The sequence below is a fragment of the Homo sapiens genome, chromosome 7 (genome assembly GCF_000001405.40).
Source record: "Homo sapiens chromosome 7, GRCh38.p14 Primary Assembly".
Classification (NCBI taxonomy): domain Eukaryota; kingdom Metazoa; phylum Chordata; class Mammalia; order Primates; family Hominidae; genus Homo; species Homo sapiens.
The window spans coordinates 37,219,511-37,247,027 of NC_000007.14; the positions used below are offsets into that span (position 1 = coordinate 37,219,511).

Sequence of the window (27,517 nt, forward strand, 5' to 3'; positions counted from 1 at the left end):
GTGTTCCTGCAAATCCAGTAAATACATGTTTAGATTATATTTCAATCTAATTGGAGTGAGAAAATGGGCTTGGTGCTATCCAGGCTTCGGGGAGTTGTTTACTTGGCAAATACAGGAGAATTCTATGAGTGACATCTCTGACAGGCGTTGGATGGGATGCTTTGCAGGTAAAAGCAGGGATAAGGTTGAGACTCGAACTCTGATTCTTACCCGCTCAGTAACCTGGTCAAGTTCTTTACTCCCTTTGAGGCTCAATTTCCTTACTTATAAAACAGAAATAATGTGGCTTTCTCTGAATATGAGAATAAAATGAAATAATGTAATATAAAACACTGAACACTGCTTGGCACATGCCAGACTCTCAATAATATTATCATTGATGGCTGACTTTGGTCAATTTTCCTATTTGCCAAAAATTCAGAACTTTTAATTTTTCAGAACATACGCCAATAACAATGCCAACGTCAAATTCAGACCAGCTGAAACTTTATTTTACTTAGAACATAGAGCCCAGACTAAGGCATACAAGCTCAGCTGTTAATATAAATCCACAGCAACCCACATGATGTCACCAGTTAGCTCAGTCTTCTGCTTTACAGGCCTCTACTGACCTTCAGAAAATAATATCCAACAAACTTTTCTTCATTATGAATCTGAAATCCCTTTTTAGAGCTATCTCGCTACTCACTGAAATTTTTTTAAATTTAAAAATCATGATACTCCCTTTATTTTGATGAACAACATTCTTAATTTCAAGAGTTTATAGTTTATGAAGTCCACATCACTTTTCCATGGGCAAGTAAATTAAATACCTTGTAGGTATTTTTTAGAGCTTGAATGAATGAGTCATATAATACTTCATAAATTTCTGCTGAATTATATACAGTCTTTCTTAGTTGGAATCTTTTCTTAAATGGTTTAAGGTTATTAGACTACTCTTTGTCATGGTTTATTACTCTTTGTGGTGGTTTATTAGAATAATATATAGCCAAACTGTCTCCTGTCAGTCTTATGTTGCATAGTTTTCAAAGAAAGACTTGATTCACAAAATCCAAACCTAATCTTATATCGACATTCCATTATATTACCATTATTATCAATGTCCTGAAGTTAGTACAGATTGACACCTGATTCCCTATTTGTCCATGGTCATGAGAGTCCAATTTAACAAATGAACAGTAGTGTTTGGTATAAAATAAGATGCAGTAAGCATTTTACTCATGTCTAGATTCAGAGATCCAAGTGAAATGGCCTTTAGAGTGGGCATGAACTTTCACCTCCTCTAATCCATCCTCTTCTTTCACAGATGGGGAAAGGAAACTTCCAAGAGTTGAGATCAGAATGCAACCTTCCTGACCCCACACGCTACACTCAGCTACCATGTGGCTGGGCCAGAAGTCCCCAGTCTGGCCAGCAGAAGGACCCCGTTGCTCCAATGCCCAAGTCAAGCTTGGGTATGTACACGGTGAGAGCTTCCAGACAACTTCCGGGCTGCTTGGGAGTTATGAGTTCGGTATTTAGACTAAAATATCACAGAAGCAGCCCTATCGATGATTTCACCTCAGATCTGCAAAGCCACTCCTAAAAATCCAGCCACGGTAAGACTGCCCCTAGCACAGGCTTGTGGAGGGCAGGCACCTCCACCTGGCTCCAGCGAACACCAAATCAAACGTCCAGGAAACTATAAAGTGACACCACTACTTGTGCAAACACAGCCCCCCAGGGATGAATAAGAAATTCTAAATGGAAAACAAACCAGAACCCCTCATGTTTAGTCACTGAGGTTTAAAATCCTTGGCAATGAAAAAGCAAAATAAAATCCAAAAATTCTTGTCATAGCATTCAGTAGCAGGTTCGCTTTCTAATTTCTTCTAAACGAACTCACTGGCAACTGCCATCAAGCTCCCCAGCATAGTTTCTAGGTGAGTGAAAGAGCTCATATTCCCACCCACTTTTTTAAGGAAGGAAATTGTGACCAGGGTAACATATTACATGACATGTTGATTGAAAAAAACATGAATGGATTTTGAGGTGTGACCTAAATTCCAAGACAAGGCAAAATTCCACTTCTTCACATCCCCTCTGTAATGCTCCTTTCCTTCGTGAAGAAAGAAATAAAGGATCTACAGACAAAGGACACCATCAGAGGAAAGGTTCCATGTATGTATATTAAGGGGTTCCTTCCTTTTTTTTTCTTTTTTTTAAGATAGTCTTGCTCTGTCGCCCAAGCTGGAGTACAGCAGTGTGATGTCAGCTCACTGCAACCTCTGCCTCCCGGCTTGGTTCAAGTGATTCTCCTGCCTCAGCCTCCTGAGTAGCTGGGATTACAGGCGTGCACTATCATGCCCAGCTAATTTTTGTATATTTAGTAGAGATGGGGCTTTGCCATATTGACAAGGCTAGTCTCAGCTTCCTGACCTCAAGTGATCTGCCTACCTTGGCTTCCCAAAGGGCTGGGACTACAGGTGTGAGCCACCGCACCCGGCTCTTTTTATACAGGAGAGGAAACAGATGGCTCCAATTTCCCAGCCACATCCACACACAGAAGTAAGTAATCTCACCAAGCAAGGAGCCCCTCTGACATACGAATGCAGTTATCTCCACAAGGAGCAGCCATCTGCATATTATCCCTCCTGTCCTCTTACCTTCCATCACCTCCTTCCTTGGGAAAAACATGGCACCCCTCAGGGTCTGTTTCCTGATACAGAAAATGAGAACAGCACTTCCCTCAACCTAGTGAGCATCCCATGAAATGACAGAAGGTCGCAGGGGCTCCTAACTCTGCTTCCACCACAGCAGCGTTTTCATCTTTTTACATCTGGGCTTCCAGGTTGCATTTCATTTCATGAAAAGGCTCTACTGCTGGAACACTCCTAGCATCCCTCATCAGTCAAGGGCTTATCCATCTCTACCCACTTGCCCCTGGATTTGGGAAGGACCCCAGCGGGCCAGCCGTGCAGCGGAACATAGCTGCTCTGGAGAGTCCATCTGTGGCCAGGATAGCAGAGAGGCCCAATGAGTCCCCGAATAGAAGGAGAGGGCGTTCTCTGCACACAAAGTTCCTAGCCTTGACATAGCCATAAGACTAAAGAAATGCAACTTACCTGCCTCCTCTCATCAGGAGCCTTCAGGAAAAGCGCATTAATCACTGCAATAGTATAGGTTTGGATTTCTTGATCTGACCTGTAAAGATAGAGAACAATTCAGAAAATCAGAACACGAAGTCAGAAGAGGCTAGCCCTGGGTCAAACCATGAAAAGGCTCAAAATCAGCCCCCTCCCCCCAAAAAAAGTGAGAGAGAAAGGCAGGGCCTAGAAAATGCATTTTGCACTGAGAATGCATTTCAAACATCACAAGGTGGTAAATATACAACTACTATTACTAGCTGACAGTACACTGGTCAGTGCAGAATGCCCAGAAATATAGGCAGCCTTCTCTCTTATTCAGATTAAAGGCATAAACCTAGGGGATGTTGTAATTGATGTACTACTAGTAATAGATGTATGTATGTCTGTATGTATGTATGTGTATGTGTATGTATGTGTAATTTTCTGTCTGATACATGAAATATATCAGGGAGTAGTTTCAGATGTCTCCACATTCTTGGGCTAATTGGATGGCTCTATTATATATTCTAAAAATCTATTTCCAAATATAAACATTTCAATAACAAAAAGAACAGGTGTTTGTTTATAAATCTGATTTTCACTGGAAAGGAACCAGAAATAATAAAATGAAACAAAGCTCTAATGTAAGGCAAGTGGTAAACAGTAAATAAGGAGGACTCAAGGCATAAACAAAGAGTGACTTATGAGCTACATTTAGGAATAACTTATCAGGCCAGTGAGAGAGAGGTGGAGCTTAGAACTAGGCCAGGATAGGGTGCAAAGCCCAGTTCATCACAGGCTGGCTGAGACCTTGGACAAGTTCATGAGTATCCCCCAAGGCACAGTTACCTCATCTACAACATGGGGTTAGACACACTTATTTCATGGGATTGCTGTGAAGATAAAATGAGATTATGCATGTAAAATCCTTAGCACAGTACTTGGAGAATAATAAACTCTCCACTTTGGTAACGTGCTTTGGGATGAAGATGTGTGCCTTTGAGATTCCCACAAAAGACACAGTATATAAATTAATACAGTTCACATTCAAAGGAAATGTGAAACTGGTCTTATTTCTAGAGAAGCTACCTTACATTATCATCATTTTGAAGAATTATGATTCTGAGGCCACAATCACGGAGGCCACCACAATCCTCAGCTTCTGTGACTTAAATTTTAAATGTTGGTAATCCTCCCACCTCCAAATGAAAATAATATCTAATATAATCTGCTTTGGTAGTTTATATTATCAACACAACAGTTAACATTTCAGAGAACCATTCCCACCCTGCACCACCAACCCAAATGGGCCAATTGGGTTTCCTCTTGAGAATTTGTAATTGTGACCTAATGGACCAGGGGCAACAGTTAGGGGGAGTTGGGTCACTGTAGTGCCAACCAAAATGCTAGAGAAAAGGCCATCTGCTGAGGACTCCGGGGAAGCTATGGTTTCTCTCCTTCTCAAGGCTTAGCTACTTATGTCATTTCTGGATTCTACAAAGTACCCCAGTATTGTTCCAATAACCTCCTTTCCTGTGTAAGCAAGCTCATAATGTTTATTATCACTGCAATCCAAAATACTTGAATTTCTAAGGTAGCACTGTACAATAGAGTCCTTCTCAGGTTGGTATTGTCAGAGACAACCTTCCTAGTTACCTCAGGGAGGAAAGAAGGGGAAAAATGCCTCAAAGACTGCAGGCTGCAGGGGCAGCTATCTTATGTCCATTTTATAGCTCAAGCCACTAGAAAAAATCCTACATTTTATTATAAAATACAAAAGAAGAAGCTCACTAGAATCACCTTGAGCATAACTAAGAAAGAAGCCTGCCTTTAAAAATTCCTAGTAAAAATGCATAACATTACATTTCTAATTAACTATGAAAATACTCATTATATCACAGAAAACATTAACTTACATGGTTTAAGAAAGAGAACTTAAGAGAACAAATCATCCTGTTTTATCTTCTTAAAAGTAAAACTCTGCCAATATCTACCAATATCCATTAAAACTGAGAGCTTACCAAGGGCCAGGCGTGGGGACAGGCAATGCCAAGAACCAGCTTGGAGTTCAGTGAGGGACAGAGGCCAAGGGAAAGTAACCATGCCATTCCAGTGTGACACGTGGTTTGGTTATATGCCAAATTGAGATTCTTTTTCTGTACATTTAACCAAACTATAACAACATAAAACGTTTCCCAGTGCATTACCGTGGCCATCTTCCTGAAGCATTTCTCCTCCCCAGAGCATCTTGGCATGCTTACCCTTGCAGGTGTGGAATGAGCTGGCCGATGGTGATCTCCTGCGCCACTTTCTGGTAGAGGTCATGGCTATTGAGCACCATCGACTCCAAAATGGCCAAGGACCGCTGCAGGATCGAGATGTCTATGGCTGACTTGTTCACAAAACTTGCTATCTGAAAATCCAAGTGGGACACAATTGACTGCTCGTGGTAAGTAGAGCAGAGACGTGGAGAAGGGAACAAATGAATCAAATCGGGAACTCATTTAAGAAACACCAGGCACTGAGGATGACCTGGAATTACAGCAAAATAGCAAGAAACCCATTGAACTAGGGATTGTTCATGATATCATTACAAAGCATGATTTATCTCATCTCTATAATTCACTGATAAGCAAATGTTTTAAAAAAGACACACCTCCAAGGATTATTCTTTCTGTATTTCCTAGGATTATTCTCCTGAGTTTCATCTTTTAGGGGCAGACAATTTCAACACATATATTGTAAGGATACCTGTGTTTCTCTGGGATGGTAATGTCAACATATGTTAATTGCCATTCCTCTTGCATTCCCAGGCTACTCCTTCATCCACACAATCCATGGCTTTTATATGCTTATTATGTTCTTGTTGCATTCTTAAGGGACTCGCACAAATCTCACTTGTCAACACAATTCAACTGGCAACTTCTCAGTCACCGGCCACTCTCTTAAACGAAAAACTCGTTACCCCTTTCTTCCAATTTCTGATGGTTAAAACAAGTTCTTTTCATCTCTCCCAAATTTAGCAAACAGGAAATCATTTAAGTGAGCAGTACTAAAAGTTAAAATACTACTTTAAGCTCCAAAATAGATTCTCTAAGGAATTAATCACTAAATCCCCAAACATAATAAATCACAATGTGAGCGGAAAATAAAATAGAGGTTAGAATAATGGATCGCAGTAATCCAAACACATGGGTACCATAAAGGTTTTATTTTAGAGGCCTCATTAAAAGTTATTACTGTCTGTTGACAGCTCACAATAAAAAGCCATTATTATATCAGCATAATGACTGTTCTTAAAAGCTAAATAACTTGGTTCCACGACAAGTAAACTCTTGCTGCTTCCCCCCTGTCAACACTAATTTCTCCCTTTTTTGCTGCCCCAGAGACCACTTGCCTCATCTCCTCTCCATCTTTGCACATGATAAATGCACAGCACACCATGGCAGTTCCCAGGTACCATCGGAATTGTCCCTAGTCCGCTGATTTCCAGGTGAAAGGAGGGGTGGGAGACGCAGATACCAACACTCTGCCTACCCCAGCTACATCTGGATCTCAGGGGTGGGAAATAATGTGAAGAAGTGCAGTGACATTATGATTTTACATTCCGAAAAGCTATTATTTTAAAATACAAACTTCAGGAAGAGTATGGAAATTTTCAGGTTCTCAAAAGACTGCTTCAGCTCTTCTCATGGCTAATAACCTTCTCCGACATGTTTACTATCCTTGGCAAGCCCTTGACTTATTCCTCGCAGTCTGCTCCAATCCACCAAATCTACCATGCTAAGGCCACCCTTCTTTCCCTAGGTCCATCTTTCTCTGACAAAAATCCAATTATTGTCACACTGTGTTCAGGGTTTAATACTTAACTTAGACATCTTCTAAACAGAGGATAAATTATCTGACTCCTCCCCCACCCCACCAAACCATTTTTCACGCTCTCGGCATAATTCTTGGCACTGGTATTAGGAAACTGAAGAACTCATAAAGAAATTCATTGACAATACTTCAGATTTTCTTGCAACTAATTTTCTCCTCATTCCCGGCTCCCCTGCTTGTCTCTATTTATTAAATTTGGATGTGCCTTAAGGATGCATGGAGGCTTCTGCCTGAGAAGCTGTTGCTGATATTGTCAAGCACCCTCCGCCTCCATCTTTATCCACTCTTTTCATTCAGCCAATATTTACTCATCATTAAGTGATCCATTTCAGTAACATGCATTGCGTGTGTACTATGTAACAGGCTTGCCCTGTCCCACAGAGCTGGAAATACAAAGATGAAAATAACAAACTTCAAGGACCTTACAGTCTAGTATGGACAGATAAAAAGGCATTTACTATGAAGTACACTGCGGGCCTATTCTTGGCATCCAAAAGGATGCCACCATTTGGATATTCCAAAAAAGCCAAAAATTAAAAAGGGGGATTATCAATCTCATTGTCTTCCTACTCCTCTCTTCCCAATTATCACTCTTTTCTAAGAATCCATAATCACTGGTGATTCATATTTCCAGCTGCCTATTTTATATCCCTGTGATACATCTGACATGTCTCCGTTTTGATACAGAGTATATACAAATAACACTGGCCCAGTGGTCTAACTCATTGCTGGGTTACTGAAACATAATCTTCTGCAGTTTATTTTATGTTCAAGTTTTCCATCAAATGGAAATTTACCCCCTGAATTAGTTGCCTACTTCCATAAATATCCTTTTTACAATATTTCCTTTCTTGAAATATTCAATCAGAACTCTCAGTGTTTTCTTCTTTTTTATTTTTTATTTTTTGAGACGGAATCTTGCTCTGTTGCCCAGGCTGGAGTGCAATGGTATGATCTCAGTTCACTGCAACCTCCACCTCTCCAGTTCAAGCAATTCTCCTGCCTCAGCCTCTTAAGTAGCTGGGATTACAGGCATGCACCACCACGCCAAGCTAATTTTTCTATTTTTAGTAGAGATGGCATTTCACCAGATTGGCCAGGCTGATATCGAACTCCTGACCTCAAGTAATCCACCCGCCTCGGCCTCCCAAAGTGCTGGGATTACAGGCATGAGCCACGGTACCCAGCCTACACTCAGTGTTTTCTGATATGAAGTATACCTTCTCATAATGGGTTTTAAAGTTCTCTATAAATCATTAACTCTTCTCTGCTGCCAGTGGGCTTGCTCAATGGTGGTAAAAATAATTTGCTGTCTTTGCTTTAATTCAGGCATATTTATATCCCACATACATATTCCATTTCCATTCATTATTTTTCTCCTAAGAAATGAATCCCTTACTTTCATGAAAGTATTCTTTAAAATTCATGTTCCTAGTAATTCACCTCTTCCTTGACATAAATAAACTAATCATTTCAGCAATCCTAAAGCATGTTACATAATGAGCATTTTGTGTAACACACCTGGGGCACTCAATGCATTACAGTCCTATGTACAAGTCTGAAGTAGATGCTAATGGTTTTCTGAAACTTAACTTCTTTCTTTTGTTTTATTTGTCACTGGTTTTAGCCAGATATTCAAATGACCTAATACTTCCACTTAATGAGTATTAATAACCAACGCATCAGGGCTGATCCAAGTGAATGTAATAACTGTCGTCCTCCAGGGAGCTTGAGACCAACTCCTTATAACTGAATGTATAAATTAGTTAATGGACACATGTCTCTACGTCCAGTTTGAAAACTATAGATCTTCATATAGCTAGAGAAGGTTATTCATGCCTATTTAAATTTTCATTTCCTTTATCCCCCAAAAGAGTAATAATGATTCCCTCTGCCTTTCAATTTATCCCAGCTCCATTACTGTACTTTTGGGTGACACAAGTGAGCCAACCCAAGCCAGCCACAGTACAGCTTCTCGAAAGTAGGCCTGTAACATAAGGAAGAAGCAAGAGGAGTTAGCAGTAATTAATTATACACACTAGCTCCTTGTACTGCTCATTCATTTAAAAATCTTGGCTAAATAAGAGAAATACTTATGTAACTTTTAAGAAGCTAAGGGGCATTACAGTGCATGAATCAACGATCCAATAAATACTTCTTAGAATCACTTAGAATGAGATCTTAAAATTCTCCTATGTTATCAAAACCTAAAAGAATCATGGAGGGCCGGGCACAGTGGCTCACACCTGTAATCCCAGAACTTTGGGAGGCCGAGGCGGGTGGATCACGAGGTCAGGAGATCGGCTAACATGGTGAAACCCCCATCTCTACTAAAAATACAAAAAATTAGCCAGGCGTGGTGGTGGGCTCCTGTAGTCCCAGCTACTTGGGAGGCTGAAGCAGGAGAATCGCGTGAACCCAGGAGGCAGAGGTTGCAGTGAGCCAAGATCACACCACTGCACTCCAGCCTGGGTGACGGAGCGAGACTCTGTCTCAAAAACAAAACAAAACAAAAAACCAGCCATGGAGAACATGAAGCTCCACTCCTGTATTTAAAATTATCTAGGTAGATGCCTGTAAATCTCTCAAATTTTTAAGAGGCAAAAATTACCAGGTCTCTAAAGCAAAATGGTGGGATGTTTGTCCAGGCACTGAAAACATTTGCGGGGTAAGCCAGGTTCTCCTGCACAGCTAGGGTTTCAAGAGCATTTATATGAAACTTTCCTTCCAAAAGAAGGCACTGATGTTATACTTGGCTAGGGAAAAACCAACTCATAACACCTAAAGTTTTTTTTTCTTTTCTTTCTACTCCATATTTTCTTACTCTCTCCCTAAGTAGCCGAGTCTTTAAAATGCAACATTATATATTGGTATCAAGGAATTCCAAGTTTCAGAGCTGTTTATGAAATGATGCTATTTATTGCAGCCAAAATTTGTAAACCAGAATCTAGATTCACACATAACAAAACAGATAAAGTAATAGAGAAGGAGACAGAGGCTGGCAGGGAAAAAAAATATTTCTCCAAAGTGGTATGAATTTGGCATTAATAGGAAGCCAACTCTAGACCACAGAGATAGGCATCTTTTGTCAGCCCATTTCCTAGTCGATTTTTGTTGAGATAAAGCTCCATTTAAAAGACAGTTGCCTGCATACAATTCCTGGGTTGTCAAAGTGCTGAATTTGGTCCAGCTAATGAATAAAAAAGTTAACCTTACAGAAAAGTAAGTAATTTTCTGATGACTATTTTTTCAAATTCATGTAACAGATCTCTAAGTAGCAATGCAAAGAAAATGAGACTGGGAATGAGGACATGAAATAGATTAAATGTGCTGCTTTTTAAAAAATACTTAATTTTTTATTTAAACCACCAAGACTGTCAGTCTTTACTTTCTTACATTTAATATGATTTTTGAATTAATTTCAATGAATGAAAAACATTTTCTTAAGTTGTTAGAAAATTAAATGACTGTCATTCTCTTTGGCCATTGCTCACATCATTTAAAGAAACACAGCTTTCTAATTCCTTTCCACTCATCACCGAAATTTTACTTAAAATATATTTAAATACAGTACTTTTTTTTCCTTCTCTTCTTCAAATTCTGTGGGTATTTTTAATGCTTCCAAGCAAATTTTATTCATTCATTTCACAGAAATGTATTAAGACCTTACTCTGTGCCAGGCCCCGAGGATAAAGACATGAAGAAAGCCACGTTTCTGCCTTCCTGAGGTAATACTCTATTGGGAAATACTGTTAAATGAATAAAAAATTCACCGAAATGTGACAAGTGCTGGAACAGGGGCATTCAGGAGATCCCAGGGGAACAGAGAGCAGAAGAAATTGCTTAACTCTAAGCAGTAAGGTCAGGGAGGAATATGTAAGAGACAGGCTGGTTAAGCAAGGCTCCGGGAACTATGCCTTCCACCACTTGGAAAGCACAGGTGCATGATGAGGAGGAGAAGCACCCTGACCATGTGACCAAGGACGCCCACTCACTATGTGACCTCATTCAACCTCGGCAAGCCACTGCATCCCTGCCTCCTAACCAGAAATAACAAGACTATCTGTTCTGTTCTGGAAAGGATTGCTGTGGGGAATCAAAAGAGCTAATGTTGGTGAAAGTAGAACATAATTTCAAGGAATTCACATTCAGTACAACATTGTTGTTACATTCTATAGCAAAAGAGGCTCTCATAACAGACAAGCCGGGCACTCTGGAGGTAGAAAAGAAAGCCTGCTGTAAATTCAAAAAGTTAAAATGTTTGTTAAGTATTAAAAAATCAATGATACTCACTATCTTCAGATTTGGAATTGCTTCTCTGGAACTGATCTTAGAGAGGCAAAATAGTGCCATTTATTTTTTCCTCTCATAATCTAATGCTTACATTCCCTGCCACCACCAAAGGTGGCAGGAAAGTACTTTATAACACATCGGGATGTCTTTGGCTTCTTTAGCAATTAGGTTGGTGCAAACGTAATTGCGGTTTTTGCATTACTCTTAATGGCAATTCCAACAGTTTCTTTCCTTTATGGCAATTCATACCACTGATAAATACAGGCAAAAAGGGGCCTCTTCCTTTTCTGTGTGTTTTCTACAGGGTTCCTTTTGCTCATCCCCTTTGGCTTTATGGATTTACATAAGGAAAGAGAGTTGATTCTGAGATGTGTTGAGAAGGCCCTGGGTTTCCAATCAGCTCTTGTCTTAAATGAACATAAAACATAGTGCGGACATGACACCTGTGGGGCCTCTGATCCTACCCCCCTCATTCAACCGATTAGGGCCATCTCATGTCCTTCGATTCAAGGCAACATCTCCCCTAAGATAATGATTAATTTCAAAAAAAAAAAAAGCAGCACGTTTACAGTGGGGAGATCCTACAGATGCCACCTAATCATGTAATCCAGGGTAACATCACCAGTCAGAGGACAGTGACATCATATGCCCATGAAAGGATGCACTGAGGATGTGCCATAACTTCTGTAGCATTCTTGCCAAAAATGCATAACCTTCTTTAATTGAACCATGAGGGAAATATCAGACAAATCCAAATTGAGGAACATTATACAAAATAACTGACTGTTAACTTTCAAAAGTGTCAAAATCATAAATGACAAACAAAAAACCTGAGGGACTGTCACAGACTTGGGGACACTAAGGAGGCATGACAACCAAATTCAGTGTGGGATCCTGGATCAGATCCTTAACCAGAGAAAGGCATTCATAGAAAAACAGGTGAAATCAAATGCCGGCATTGCACCACAGCTTATTTATCAATTTTGATAACCGTACTGTCATTTTGCAAAATGTTAACTTTAGGGGAGGCTGGATGAAGGGCTTATAGGAACAGTCTGTACTAATTTTTTTTTACTTTTTTGAGACAGGGTCTCACTCCGTCACCCAGACTGGAGTGTAGTGGTGCAATGTCGGCTCACTGCAACCTCTGCCTCCCAGGCTCAAGTGATTCTCCTACCTCAACCTCCCAAGTAGGCGGGATTACAGGCTCCCACCACTGCGCCCGGCTAATTTTTGTAGTTTTCATAGAGACGAGGTTTCACCATGTTGGTCAAGCTGGTCTTGAACTCCTGACCTCAAATAATCCACCTGCGCTGGCCTCCCAAAGTCCAATTTGCTGCAACTTTTCTTTAAGTCTACCATTAGTTTAAAATAAAAGGCTTAAAAACTTCAAGTGACTCTTAATGGATTTTGCTCTGATTTTCTGGCTTGCACAGATTCACTGAAATTCTCTTTCCAGTAACCGATACTTATAAAATAAAGTTATGAATTCCAAACATCTCTTTATTCCTAATACAGTAGTAGGGAGGAGAAATGCCAATGAATTTATAAACCATTTCGCAAATACAAAGAAAGGAAAAAATAAATCAATAAATGATAATTGTCCATGATTTAATCTACATTTAAGAGTGACAAGATCAAGACTGTTTATTTTTAGTCAGAAGAATGGAAACAGAGTTGCAAATTTGTTACACTTCAATTGCAAGGAATGGTAGGGCTCTTCTGCCCCATCTTCCTGCACCAGGTCCATCTTCATTTGCTTCCTCCCAAATGAAGAACTGGTAGAACTGGGTGATGTCTGAGATATTCCTTGCACCCTGATTACAAGTAAGCAGGCTCACTCTGCTTAAGACACATGGACTCAGGCATCCCTCCTTTTCATATAACCCTGCTTCAAACCTAGGTGTGCAGGTCATCAGTATACTTTGCCTCTTTCCTTTTCCCTGGACACCAGGTTGGGGATTAAAGGCTCAAGAAGGATGACAGTAGGAACTCTGTTTAGGTCTTGAAACCAACAGAGTCACACATGGGGAATTAACACACTTGTGCAGTTATTAACAGTGTGACACACTTATCTGGTCTGAGCTATGGGTGCGCACATGCAATCCCTTATAATCTCTTACAATCATTTTTATACAGAATTTGGGTTTCCTGACCCCCACATACATAATATTATAAAAAATCATACCCATCTTTTAATATAAAGAACTAAAGGAAAGACAATTATGAAACATCCTCAAAGCAGAGAAAAATAGCTATGACAGAAGACAGTAAGGAAAGCCTAAAGAGGCAGAGTCCACCTTACCTTCTTAATGAACGCCACCGAAAATGTATCCCAGGACACTATGCCATGGTCCATCAGCTCAACGAAGGCCGTCAGGGTGAAGGACAGCATGTCTCCAAAGCTGAAAAAGACAGAGAGGCACAAGAGTCAAGAGCCCCAAAGCTGAGCAAAGACACAGAAGCAAGAAAGTTCTGGGAAAGTGAATACAAGCAGAATTTTAAAAGATCAAGAGACAAATAGCAGGACCACAGGTGACTTCTTCACTAACATGAGTGACATGAAGGGGCAGGACGGCCTTGATGAGGTTGGGCAGGACGGCCTTGATGAGGTCAACCAGGGCTTCAGCATCCAACAGACCCGGGCTCACACCAACTCTCGTTCTGGTGAGCTGTGTTGTTCTGGGCAATTCACTGACCCTGCCTGAGCCTCTATTTTTTCAGCTGAAAAACTAGATGGTGATATCTATCTAGCCACAGAGCTACTTACTTAATAAAGTATGTAGCATATAGACACTCAGTAAATGGTGGCTTAAAGAAAAGCTTCTTGGCTAATGAAATTTGGAGCTGCTTAGGCAGGGCAATGTGCTTCCTTTATTACCCATACACATCCAAAGAGAAAATTAAAAATACTTCTATTAAGAGAATTAGTACTTTTTTTAAGTGGTCTATACATCCCTCTGTGTGGACACACAGATACAAACATGTATGCAAGTAAACATACTCATTTTGATTTTGGCCAGCATTTCGTCTTTAGTTAGTAACTTTTCTGGCATATCGATGGAGATAATCACTCCACATAATGGGTTTGCTGACCAAAAGACTTGCTGAGATTCAGTAGGCTATAAGGTGGGTCTAATATGTGGTTTGAAAATCCAAACAGAGATTAGGCTTGGGCAAATGCAGTTCCACCTAGGACCCTTATTAGACAATATCCTGGTGTCTACAGCTTTCAAAACAACACTTTAGCAGAGACTTAGATACACAGAATCTTTCATAGATATTCACCTTTATTGTAAATTATCATCATTATAAGTATTAACACCTTTATGATAAATACTCTTTCTTTGAGTACATTGAATTATGCCAGTCAGGATCTGTACACTGTATTATGTAACAGCACTGATTCCTAGGTTCAATTTTTAAAAAAATAAAGTTGGTTATATAGATTTTTCATTTGTAGGCTCATGCATACCATTATTGATATCCTACAAAGTCTCCTAACATATTTAGATTGAACCTTCCAACTAGTTTTATTTCCAACTAGTAGAATAGAAAACAGGTAACATTTCTTTTAAAACAGCTTCTCAATTTCCCTTCTTCCTACTGTTCTACTCAGCCCAGCCTCAAAAATGACCTTTGAAATTCTGCATCACCACAGAAGATGTAATGCTAAATGGAACCTATAGAAGGGGAAGTGGTTCTCAGGGAAAGACAATGATCCAAAGCTGCCGGAGACCAGGGGCAACAGAGGGGATGCAACCAGCTAAACGAAAACGGCTAAGTAGGTAGTTTGTGGAGTCAGACAGCAGGGGTTCTCCCTTCAGCCCTAAGTGGGCAAGTTATGCACCATCCTATGCTTCTCTTTCCTCATTTATTAAAAATGGGGATGATGATGATGATGATGATGGTAGTGGTAGTCACAACTAGCTCAGAGATTTTTGGAGAAATGAAAACAAGCAAACATGCTTAAAGCCCTCCAAATGCTGTGCAGTGAATTGTAAGTAGCGTGTGAGTGTTACTACATTCTCACTATGCAAAAGTGAGATTTTTAAAACGTGAATGAAGGACAAGATTTTCAAATGTTTCACCTTGTGTTAAGGATTCTCTGTTCTTAGAACTAGAAAATGAAAACAAAAACAGCAATGCAAGGAAAGCCAAACCATTCAGACCAGATAGAAAAGCAGCTAATATCTCTGGCTTTTCAGAGCTGCAAAGGGCAACCTCGATCTTACAGGTGCCCCCTAGGTGGCATCAAAGGATCATGCCTCAAAAAGAAATTCCAAACCAGACAACACAAACTTATTTGAAGAAAAGAACAGAACATTAGAAAGACAGGTGGAATAATGGGTTGAAGAGAGTATTGAGTAAGGTTAAAGAAAAATTCCAGAATGACTCTTTCTACAGACAATGGATCACAAGAAAATCCAAATATCAGATTGCAAAATAAAAAAAAGAAGAAGAAAAGAAAGTAAAAAGACTGCCTCAGGAAAATAAGAGCCAGGAAATAAAAGCAATTAGTAAGATTTATTAATAGACTGGGTAGGCATTAGTATTACTGTGAAAACATCATTACATAATAACATACAGCATGAGCAGTAAGCAAAATTAGCTCATTTATTTTATTTACTTAAAAAGAGGAAAAACAAGAACCAAATGATAACTAATAGTGGATATTTGGTCATACCCAGCATATTAAAAGACCTCAAATGTCAAAAAAATTCCCATATACACGCCATGGGAGGACAGCATTCACAGCATCTGTACAAGGCAAAAAACCTGCCTCAGTAACATCAACAGCAGCACAGGCAATGGAACAGGCAGTGGCAGAGAAACACACACACTACTGAATCAAACTATTAGCCTAGTGCCGTGGTTCATGCCTGCAATCCCAGCACTCTGGGAGGCTGAGGCAGGCGCATCACCTGAGGTCAGGAGTTCGAGAGCAGCCTGGCCAACGTGGTGAAACCCCGTCTCTCCTAAAAATACAAAAATTAGCCAGTCATGGTGGCGGGCGCCTGTAGTTCCAGCTACTCTACTCAGAAGGCTGAACCCAGGAGGTGGAGGCTGCAGTGAGCCAAGATCGTGCCATTGCACTCCAGCCTGGGCGACAGAGTGACTCTGTCTCGAAGAAAGATAAAACAAATAAACCAATAAACAACAAAAAATACTCTTCTCTGCATTCCCATTAGCTAGACAGCACTCAGATAAGATCAGGAAACCAGATGACATTAGTCTTCAGTAGCTCCTTTAAAAGCAAAAGATAAAGTATATTTATGTTCTCTAATATATGAAAGCAATATGACTCTGCTCCCTAGCTACCTGCTCAATAGAGCCCTAATCCAAATGATCTTAGTAACATCTGGTACAGTCAATCGTCCCAAAACTACACTCCAGAGCTCTGTCTACAGACTCCTCAGACAGAACAGGCTGCAAGGACTTTGGGAAAAAAAAGCTGGAGAGAAGGAGAAAAAGTATCATTTGGTTTCCAAATCCCCATGCTTGTTTGGGAGTCAAGATTTCAATCTCTATGGCTGTTAAGGAGGTGCAGCACCATTTCTGAGACTGCAAATAGAGCTATATGTGCTTCTCAAGTATCCATTAGTGGGAATGATTGGTAAGTGAGAGTAAAGCTTTTTCACAGCATACACCAGTCAAGGTACTCAGAGGAAGGATAGCTCTCTTGATCTATCTAATGACATGACAGATAGGCAGAGACAGATAGGAATATATAATAGGACCTATTTTATATATTACTAGCATATAATATTTATGTAAAATACACATAGGTATATAATATATACATATTACATAATATTCTGTATTACACACATATTCTGTATATAACATATTCATTAGGACCGGTTGCTGGGTGACATAGTAAGTTCCCATATGGAAGAACTTTTTCCAAATTCAACTTCAAACTCTCAGTTGCAAAGAAAGGATGGCCATGCTAAAATTTTATTACATTCCAAATCAAGGGATTCAATCACCTCTTTCAAGTGAGATGGCTATAAAAGCTCTTACTGAACCTTGACATAGGTGTTTATTTCCACTCCTAGAGGAGTAATTCAGGCTCCAAACCGGGAAAGCAGAAGGCAAGTTCTACCTCTGAAATCAATGCTGGGTATAGAGAGTCAAGGCTAAAAGAATTACAAATATAAAGCAACCACATGGCACATCCAGGAACATTTTTATTTGTTTGGATTATTTGTATTTTGTAAACTGTTAGGCTAAAGATTGTGCAGTACTGACAGCCACAAATTAAGCCAACTGCAAACTTTACATGCTGGTGGAAAGCCACTGTCACAGCCAACACACCATGTGTGCTGGAATGATTCAAATAAATGTTTCTCATCAACTTAGTAGACACCATCTTCATTCCAACAAAATTCAGCCAATCTCAAAACAAGCATGTAAATTTATGCTACTAATTTTATAAAAGAATAGTGCTTCCAAATGTTTCCATGGAGTGGCAAGCCCGTTAATACAGAATTTTATTTATTTATTTATTTTTTTAGACAGAGTCTCACTCTTTTGCCCAGGCTGGAGTGCAGTAGCGCGATCTCAGCTCATTGCAACCTCCACCTCCCAGGTTGAAGCGATTCTCCTGCCTCAGCCTCCCAAGTAGCTGGGATTACAGGTGCACACCACCATGCCCAGCTAATTTTTGTATTTTTAGTAGAGAAGGGGTTTCGCCATGTTAGCCAGGCTGGCCTCAAACTCCTGACCTCAGGTGATCCGCCCGCCTCAGCCTCCCAAAGTGCTGGGATTACAGGCGTGAACCACCATGCCCGGCCCCAATACAGAATTTGAAAAAAGATGAAAATAAAGGCCACTTTTAAAGCTATGATAAATTGTACTCAATAGATCCTTAATTGTCAAGGTTAATGGCCACAGTTCTGCCCTGCCCTTTGAGTTTTTCCATCTGTTTTCCTCCTTGAGGAAGTAAAATGTATATACATTGAAAGGTATGGATTTATAAGTCATCCTATAGACACACCCCTTACCTTCAAAAAGCATGACTTATGTCAGCAAACATTCTTCTAGCTCCTTTGTTAAAAATTTCAGTGCAGGTTGATTCTGGACTCTATTCTACTACATTGATCTGTTTATCTACCCCCTTATACCAATATCAGACCATCTTGATAGCTAACCTTATAGGAAGTATTGAAATCAGTCAACGAAACTCTTCAACTTTATTGTTGATCATTTTGGCTATTCTAGGTCCCACACATTACCAGTGGTTTTAGGATTGATTTGTAATTCTTTTAAAAAATAACTGATATTGCACTGAACCTATAGTATAAAGATGATATGCTTTGGCTCTGTGTCCCTGCCAAAGGATGTCAGAAGAGAACTGCTATCTAATTAAAATTGTGTCCTCCACCACATGAAATGGTCTATCCCTCCACTTGTTTAGGTCTTTATTTCCCCTCATTTATTTATTTTTAGCAAATAAATAGATATTGCATGTCTATCGATGAATTTATCCCTAAAAATAAAGATTTATTTCTACAAATTATGATTTTGATACTTTATAAGTGGAAATTTTAAAATGTCATTTTCCAATGGTTGCTGTTAAAATATAAAAATTCATTTTTATTTTATTGACATTGTATCCTGAAACCTTGCTAAATTCAATTATATCTAGCAGTTTCTTTGTAGATTCCTAAGAATTTTCTAAATAGATAATCATGTTTTCTATGAATAGAGGTAGTTTTACATCTTCCTTTCTTATATTATGCTTTTAGTTTCTTTATTGACTTACTGCAATAGCTAAGAAATCCTATACAATGTTGAACAGAACTGCAGAAAGCAAACATATTTGCCTTATTCTCAGTCTGTAGGGTAGAAAACATTCAGTCTTTCAACATTAAGTATGATGGAGTTTTTGTAGATTACTTTATCAAGATGAGGAAGTTCCCTCTATTCCTAGCTTGCTGAGAATTTTTATTATTAATATACATTAGATTTTATGAAATGCTTTCTCTCCATTAAGATGATTTTTCTCTTTAGGTTTTCTCCTTTATTTCATAAAACACTGAGCTGCTTGATTGATTTTCAAATGTTAAACTATTTCTGAGATAAGCTCTTATTGATCACAAGGTATTATCCCTTTAACATATTGCTTGATTGTATTTATTAACATGCCTCTGTGGATTTTTGCATCTGGTCTATAATTTTTATTTCCTGTATTGTCTTTGCCAGGTTTTGGTATCAGAGTGATACTGGTATCATAAAATAATGAGAACTGGTCCCTCTCCTCTATTTTCCAAAAGCATGTGTTTAGATTTGGTATTTCTTCTATAATATATAATATAGAATTCACCAGTGTAACCTGTTATTGTTGTATGAAGGTTTTCGAGAAATGATTTCAATTTTTTTTTTTCTGAGATGGAGTCTCGCTCTGTCGCCCAGGCTGGAATGCAGTGGCACGACGTCGGCTCACTGAAACCTCCACCTCCTGGGTTCAAGCAATTCTCTGCCTCAGTCTCTCAAGTAGCTGGGATTACGGGTGCCTGTCACCATGCATGGATAATTTTTTTGTATTTTTAGTAGAGACAGGGTTTCACCATCTTGGCCAGGCTGGTCTTGAATTCCTGACCTCGTGATCCACCTGCCTTGGCCTCCCAAAGTGCTGGGATTACAGGCGTGAGCCACCGCGCCCAGCCAATTTCAATTTTTTTAATAACTATGGGCGTCCAAATTTTCTATTTCATCATGAGTCAGTTTTGATGTGTCAGTTTTAGTCCTCTGTGAAGCAGATGCTGAGACTAAGTTATGAGAACAGAGATTGAGTACGAGTTTGGGCAATGCCTGTGGAAGATAAAGCAGGCAGAAAGCAGGATTGAGTATGGAAAGCCTTGGGACCATGAAACAGATCTGATGCCTGCGAAGGGAAGGGGAAGAAGCAAATGCAGATCTGAAAATGTCTCAGCCAACTCAGTGGAACGCTGCAGAATAAACAGTGCCTCTTAGAGGAATCCCATAATGGGTAGAAATGACCAGGCTCTGGTATCCCCACCATGTTCAATAACTAAATGCTGCCTTTGGAGAGTACTGAAAGCTGCTATGAATCTGGAACATGTGATAACTGAAAACTATCAGGTAACTGCACTCTTCTTGGCTGACTAGCAAGTTCTTCCTGAAAGGAGATCAAAGCCATGCATTTCCATGACTAACACATTTGGTAAATCTGTTTTCCATGGCATTTGTCTATTTCATCCTTAATTTTCTTTCTTTTTTTTTTTCTTTTTTTTTTTTGAGACAGAGTCTCACTCTGTTGCCCAGGCTGAAGTGCAGTGGCATGATCTTGGCTCACTGCAACCTCCACCTCCCTAGCTCAAGCAATCCCCTAACTCAGCCTACCAAGTAGCTGGGACTACAGCCACAAGGCGTCACACCCAGCTAATTTTTGAATTTTGTTGTAGAGATAGGTTTTTGCCATGTTACCCAGGCTGGTCTTGAACTGCTGGGCTCAAGTGATCCACCTGCCTTGGCCTCCCCAAGTGCTAAAACATTAAATTTATTAATGTAAAATTATTTGCAATATTCTTTTATTTTATTTCTAATGTCAGTATGATTTGTAGTGATATTCCCTCTTTTATCCCTGGTGTTGATATTTGGATTTCTCTTTTCTTTTTTTTCCTAATAAATATTTGGCTTTAATTTTCTGTATTATTTGCCTGTTTCCTATTTCATTGGTTAGTATTCTTATTATTCTTTTTTTCTACTTAATTCACATTTTTTAAAGCTTCTTAAGTAAAAACTTAGACCATTTTTTTTTAAACCATCCTTCCTTTTCAACATAGATATTTAATGCTACAAATTTCCCCCTAAGCACAGCTTCAGCTGCATTCACAAATTTGGGTATGTTGTATTTTCATTACCATTCAGTTAAAATATTTCATAATTTCAACTGAGTTATTCCTTGACTCTTTGATAGTATGAAAGAGTGTTTTCTAATTTCCAAACATCCGAGGCTATTCGGCTATTTTATTGTTACCGACTTCTAATTTAATTTCCTTGTGATCAAAGAACATAATCTGTGTAATTTTAATCATTTGAAAATTCTTGAGCCTTACTATGGACTATTTTGATGAACATTCCATGTGCATTTGAAAATAATGTATATTTTGCTGTTATTGAGTCTGATGCTTTATAAATGACAATTAAGGCAAGACCTTTGATAGTGTTGATCAAATCATCTATATCCTTAACATTTTGCCTAGTTTTCATACCAGTTAGGAAAGACTGGTCTTAAAATCATCAACTATGCTGATGGGTTTGCCTCTTTTTCTCCTTAGTAGTCAGTGTTTGCTTCACGTATTTTAAAACTTTATTATACACATGTATAATAATTTTAAATGTGCATACACATTTAAAATTTTTAGGTGCATACACATTTAAAATAAAAAGGAGGATTAAATCTTCTTAATGAGGCGACCATTTTTATTACTAATTATCCCTCTTTAACTCTGATAACATATTGCTTTCAAGTCTTATCTTTCCTGATAATAAAACCATTCAGTTTTATTATTATTAGCATTTGCATGGTATATGTTTTTCCATCCTTTTATTTTCAACGTACATGTGCCCTTGTCTTTATAGTACATCTCTTATAAACAGCATAGAGCTGGGCCATGCTTTTTAAAAAATTTCATCTGACAATCTAAACCTTTTCATTGAGCTGCTTAGTCTATTTACATTTAATGTATTGATATGATTAGATTGAAGTCAACCAACTTGTTTTCTGTTTGTCTTAACTATATTTTATTCTACTTCTCTTTCCTTACCTTCTTTTGAATTAATCAAATTTTTTTAGTAGTCTGATTTAATCCCTCCTTTGTGTTTTGGCCTATGCTTCCTTGCACTGTTTTTAGTTGTGACTCTGTGTATTACAATGTGCACCATTAGTATATTAATGTCTACTTAAACGGAAGATTATACACTAGGAAGCTTGCTGTAGTGTAGTTGCTCTTATACCTCCATCCTTTGTGCTCTCATTGTCATACATATTGCATCAACATATGTCATAAACCCTACCAAACAGTATTATAATTTTTGCTTTATATAGTTACAGCCTTTTAAAGAAATTTAAAGGAAAGTAAAACTACATTTTGTCTTTTTATATTACCCACATATTTAGTTTCTGTTGTTCTTCATATTTTCCTACAGATCTGAGTATCTATCTACTATCATGTCTCTCCAGTGTGAAGAACTTGCTTCATATATCTCCATCATTATTTTCTTCTGTAATTATTTCCTCAAATATTTGCCTTCCCCATTCTTTTTCCTCTCCTTTTGGGACTCCAATTAAATGTATTTCAGATAACTTATTATCTCACAGGTCAAGTACTCATTATTCATTTTATCAACTTTTCAGATTAGGTAACTTACACTGATACATCTTCAAGGCTACTATCTCTTCTTCTGACATCTTCAACCTCATACAGTAAAATTTTCACTTTATTGTGCTTTTCAATTTTATAACTGACATCTGGTTATTTTTATGGTTTCAATTTCTCTATTAAGACTCCCCATCTGTGCATTCATTACACTCATACTTTTCTTTAGTTTTTAACATATTTATAAAAGTTTTTAAAAAACCTTCATCTGCTAATTCCAACATCTGGGTCATCTCAGGGCCAGTTTTTACTACCTACATTTTTTCTTAACTATAGGTCGTCTTTTCCTATTTCCTTACATACCTAGCACATTTTTATTATATACTGGATATTGTGAACAAAACACTGTCAATATTCAGATATCAGTTTTGTTCCTCTGAAGAGTGATAATTTTTGTTCTAGCAGGAAGTAAAAATCTAAATTCTGAAGTGAGTGACAGCTGACATCTTTGCTCAGATCTTTAAGTTGCTGTTTTTACCATTAAAGTGTGCATTTGCACTTCAGTGATCAGCAGTGGACTGCGACAGGGTTTACATGTGGATGTGGAGTCTCCTACTCTCTGAGCTTCTCGTCTTTCATAGATTCCCTCTAATTAGCTAGCTGCTCTGCAGTCCCAAACTACATCTTCTTAGTAACTTACTAAGACTGAGGCTCTCTGCCACCCCATGCTGCCTGGATGAGTAGGTGTTCTCAGAGAAAAAGCTTCAAACATACAAATCCCATCAAAGACCCATCTGGTCTCTCAAGGGTTAACTTCCCTCTACCTTCTGCCTGTTTTGGGTTGCTATCCAGTGCCTTCATATAGTTGGTTTAAGATGTTTTGTTTATAATATTTTGTCCGGATTTCATAATTGTTATCTGTGTTAGTCTGATTGTGCTACTGTGCCATTACCAGAACCAGGGCCTTGACTATTCATTTCTGTCTATGATTTATCAATAAAAATCATGAACTACACTACAAACTGTCCAGCATATCTACATACCAAAAGATTAAAACTACTGTCTAATAAATTTTAAATAAATTATTTTGGCTTCAGGGCCCCAAATTCCTCTATATTTGCAAATTCTGTTAAGTAGATGGGGAGAAAGTAAGTTTGAATCCCAGCTCCTCCATCTGATTTTAACTTCTGCACCAAGGAAATACCGAGCTTGTATGTTGAATGTAAGTGTGGATTTGGAGTAATGAGTGTAAACATTGAGACAATGCCCAGGATAAAGTCTCATAAAAAGTGGCTTCTACTGTCATTACCATTAAGTGCTTCTACTGTATTAAATACATCAAAATGAAATTTAAGAAGCTTTACCCTAGAAGCTCAATATTGCTTTCTACTTTATTAGAATTTAATAAACAGAAGAATTCCTGCAACTCATACTTTTCTGTGTGTGAATGATTTGAGACCAGCATAATACTATAGTACATTGAAGGTGATGAGGATTTTCTCTGAGAGCTTACAAAATAAGGTTCACACTTTGAGACGCTGGTCAGTGTTCCTTCTCAAACTGAAATTATCTGCTTAATGGCTTGGCACCATGAAAATCTGTTCGGCCTACTTCAAACAGTTTGTTAGAACCATATTTGGACTCACCCTGTTTAATGGTTAAGAAAGAAACTTAGAAGGGAAAACTCTAAGAAAGAAGGTTTCTATCTTCAGACACAATCATACAATTCACTTCATAGATAGGTGATCGAGCACTTTCTCAGACTCAAAGTAAATAATTTTCATTGCATCCTTCAATCCTGGATACTTTTAAAAATGTGAATCCGTTTTCTTTCTAAGCCACTGAAGAAAATCAAAGACTTTTGACTTTGAACATCACACAGGCCACATAAAAGTTAGTTTTGTTTAAAATAATACATAAAATTATGCTTAGCACTGCTCCAGAAGTAGGGTAGCAATCTTTCTGTGGTTACAGCATCACTTAGTGGTTACATACATAAAATATTCTTTCTACTCCAAAGCAAAAAAAGGGGGGAAAATACATTTTTGAAGAAGTTGTTTATAAAAGAACATCAAATAGAAAACAAAAATAACAAAAAATCACTTATTCAAAATACTAGATGCATAGTTATACAATCAGTCAGATGACAGGGCTCAATTATGCAGGAAAGTAGGAAGGGTTAAATCATCAATATCAATCGATCAAATATTCTTACCAAGGCTTCATGATCTTCTGCAATTTCTGGTATCGCCTGCAAAATTTAAAAACAACCATGTGAGGAGCATACTTAAAAGCAACAATTTTTACACAAAGAACATATCTTGAAGAAAACTCAGGATTAGATTTAGGACAGATTTAACTGCCATGAAGTAAAAGAATTTTATCCATTTCAAGACATCATTCAAAGTAATAAACTGGTGTTCTTTAATGATCAGAAACAAACAATCAAAAGATCAGCATTAAACTACTGTCATTAACCAGTTGCATTTGCTTATGAGTAAAGGCATCCAAAACCGTCCATTTAGATCAGAATGGGTCTGTGTTCAATGGAGCGGGGTGGGGTACCCATAGGGATAGGAATTGATACATTTTAAATGAAAAAACATTGAGACAAAAACCACTAGACTATAAAGAAATATTTTATTATCTTTCTTTGGTAGAATGTCCACTAATTTTACTTTCTCTTTTCTCTCTCAGGTGGCTTCTTCTGTGGGAAGATGCTGCAATCAATCTCTTTGCAATAAGACATTGCACTAGTGTTAAATCCCAAAACTGAACTCTGGGCTGGTGGCTTAGAATAGGCAAATCTGGCTATAATAAAGGATACTTATGCTTTTTTAAAAAAACTAGGCTCAAGAATATGAAGAAACAAGTGTTTCAAAACTGGCCAAACCATCTCTCATTCCTCAAGTCTGCCAAATCTCTCTGGCTTTAAGTATGATCTTCCCTCTTTATGAAACATCCATCCCCTCTTTGCCCAACTCGCTAAGTCCTACCCCCAAACTCATCTCATTCTAGGCTCATTCTGGGGTCCTCTAGGAAGTCTCTCTGACTTCTGATTTCTCTTCCTCAGACAGCATAGATGGTGCCTGCATCGCAGGCCACAGGCCCTGAGGACACATCAGCTATAAGCCTCAGGACATCTCACTGTCCTTCTAGCTGCTTGAGGGCTAGGACTCTGCACTGTGACAATAGCGTAATGTGAGGCACATCCAGAGTAGGGACTGAATACACGGTTGACAAACGATTTTGCTCTTCAGAAATTTTCACATTCTCAACCACATAAAATGTAACCATTTCAGAAATCCAAATCACCAGGCAAAGACTAAATTTAGTCTCTGGTAAAATTTGTGGGAGGGGGATTAAAAATGCATATAAAGAGATATTTTTATTCCTCTTCTGCTCCCCCTCCTTTACCTGCCTTTCTTTTAAAAAATATTTACTATTTCCCATCCTTCCTTCATCAAAAAGGCATTGGGCAGGGTGAAAGGGTGAGACGGGGAGGCAGGCCTGAGCATAAATTGGCAGCACGCAAGGGCCAGAGGCTACTCTCCACTAAAAGGAACCAGGGCTCCTTGGGGAAGTGGCTCGTATTAGGGGTGGGGCAAGGAGATCTAGATAGTTCTGGAACATCTTGTTGAGCCAGAAAGTAAAGAAATGCTCAAAACATAACGCAATACAGGTCAAAAGGACACAGAAGTCAGCTTGAAAGAGCTCCCACAGGCCACATCAGGGACACGCTGAGCATCAAAATCAATAATAATAGTGATAGATTAAACCCACTGAATAAAACAGGAATGAATTAGTCCACATTGTTATAGAGTGATGTGCTGATGTTGAAACACCAGATCTCTGGGGAAAAACACACGAATCTGCTTGATATTATTTTCCGATTTCCACAGTGTAACGACTCTCACTATGGCCAACTTAAAGAACCAACATGAGGTCAATGAACGCAGAGCAGAACAGAGTTGTACAAAAGTGGCTCTCAGGAGCTGGTATGAGCTCCCCACTGGAGATAAACATGTAGGTGAATAAATACGTAGGGAAAAAACAGAGCTCTTACTACCAAAGAAAACCAACTAATACATGTAGAAGAAATCATAGTATTAGAAAATTTTCCTTTGGAAATCATCAGAGCAATAATTAATTCAGATAAGAAATGTCAATGCCAAAACTGATGGGTGAAATTGGGGTAATGAGGCTTTACATAGTTTCACTGTGTCTCCCTACAAACTTTTCATGAATTAGCTGCTAAGGTAGGGAGAAAGTATTATAGTGGAGACATCTGGAAGATGCTATCTTAATGAAGTGGTCAAAGTTATAACCAGTAATAAAACAAAGAGATACCATGTGCCATCAACAGGACGAAATGGGGGAAAAAAAATCACAACCATCTGTTATATTCCAGCCAAAGACATACAATATGGGTCTTCATAAAGAGAAATTTTTGTTGTAATGTTTGTTGTGATGAGAGAACACTGGATAAATCTGTAAAAAACAAAATCTTGTGTTTCAGTAGAAAACTAAGCAGCGCCTACAACATATCCTTTTGGGCTATCAGATTCTAGTCCTGTTGGCTTTGAGTTATTTTACAACGCTTTGTTAAGATGTAGGTAACTGATGGAGAGACAGATAGATAGATAGATAAACAGACAGATAGATAGATAGATATCTATCTATATATATATCTGTATATATCTGTCTATATCTATCTATATATATCTCTATCTATCTATCTATCTATCTATCTATATCTCCTGTCTGGCAGTGATTTAATTGACTTCCTTTCCACTGGTGGAAAACTAGTTGTGTCTTCATTTGCAATTCATCTCAACATTCCTTTGCTTCATATAAATTTGTGCTCTTTTGACTTTTTCTTTAAAG

General features: G+C 38.5%; 1 protein-coding gene across 14 annotated transcripts in view; it reads right to left on the minus strand.

Moving 5' to 3' along the window:
• The window catches only part of ELMO1 (engulfment and cell motility 1), a 596,421-nt gene that overhangs the window by 366,605 nt on the left and 202,299 nt on the right, over positions 1-27,517 (minus strand). For all 14 annotated transcript variants that reach the window (NM_001206480.2, XM_011515654.3, NM_014800.11 and 11 more), the window contains 4 exons: positions 24,846-24,881; positions 13,585-13,684; positions 5,369-5,520; positions 3,105-3,183 (listed from right to left, as the gene is read on the minus strand). In NM_001206480.2, the coding sequence (NP_001193409.1) occupies positions 3,105-3,183; positions 5,369-5,520; positions 13,585-13,684; positions 24,846-24,881 (367 nt within the window). The remainder of the gene's footprint in view (positions 1-3,104; positions 3,184-5,368; positions 5,521-13,584; positions 13,685-24,845; positions 24,882-27,517) is intronic.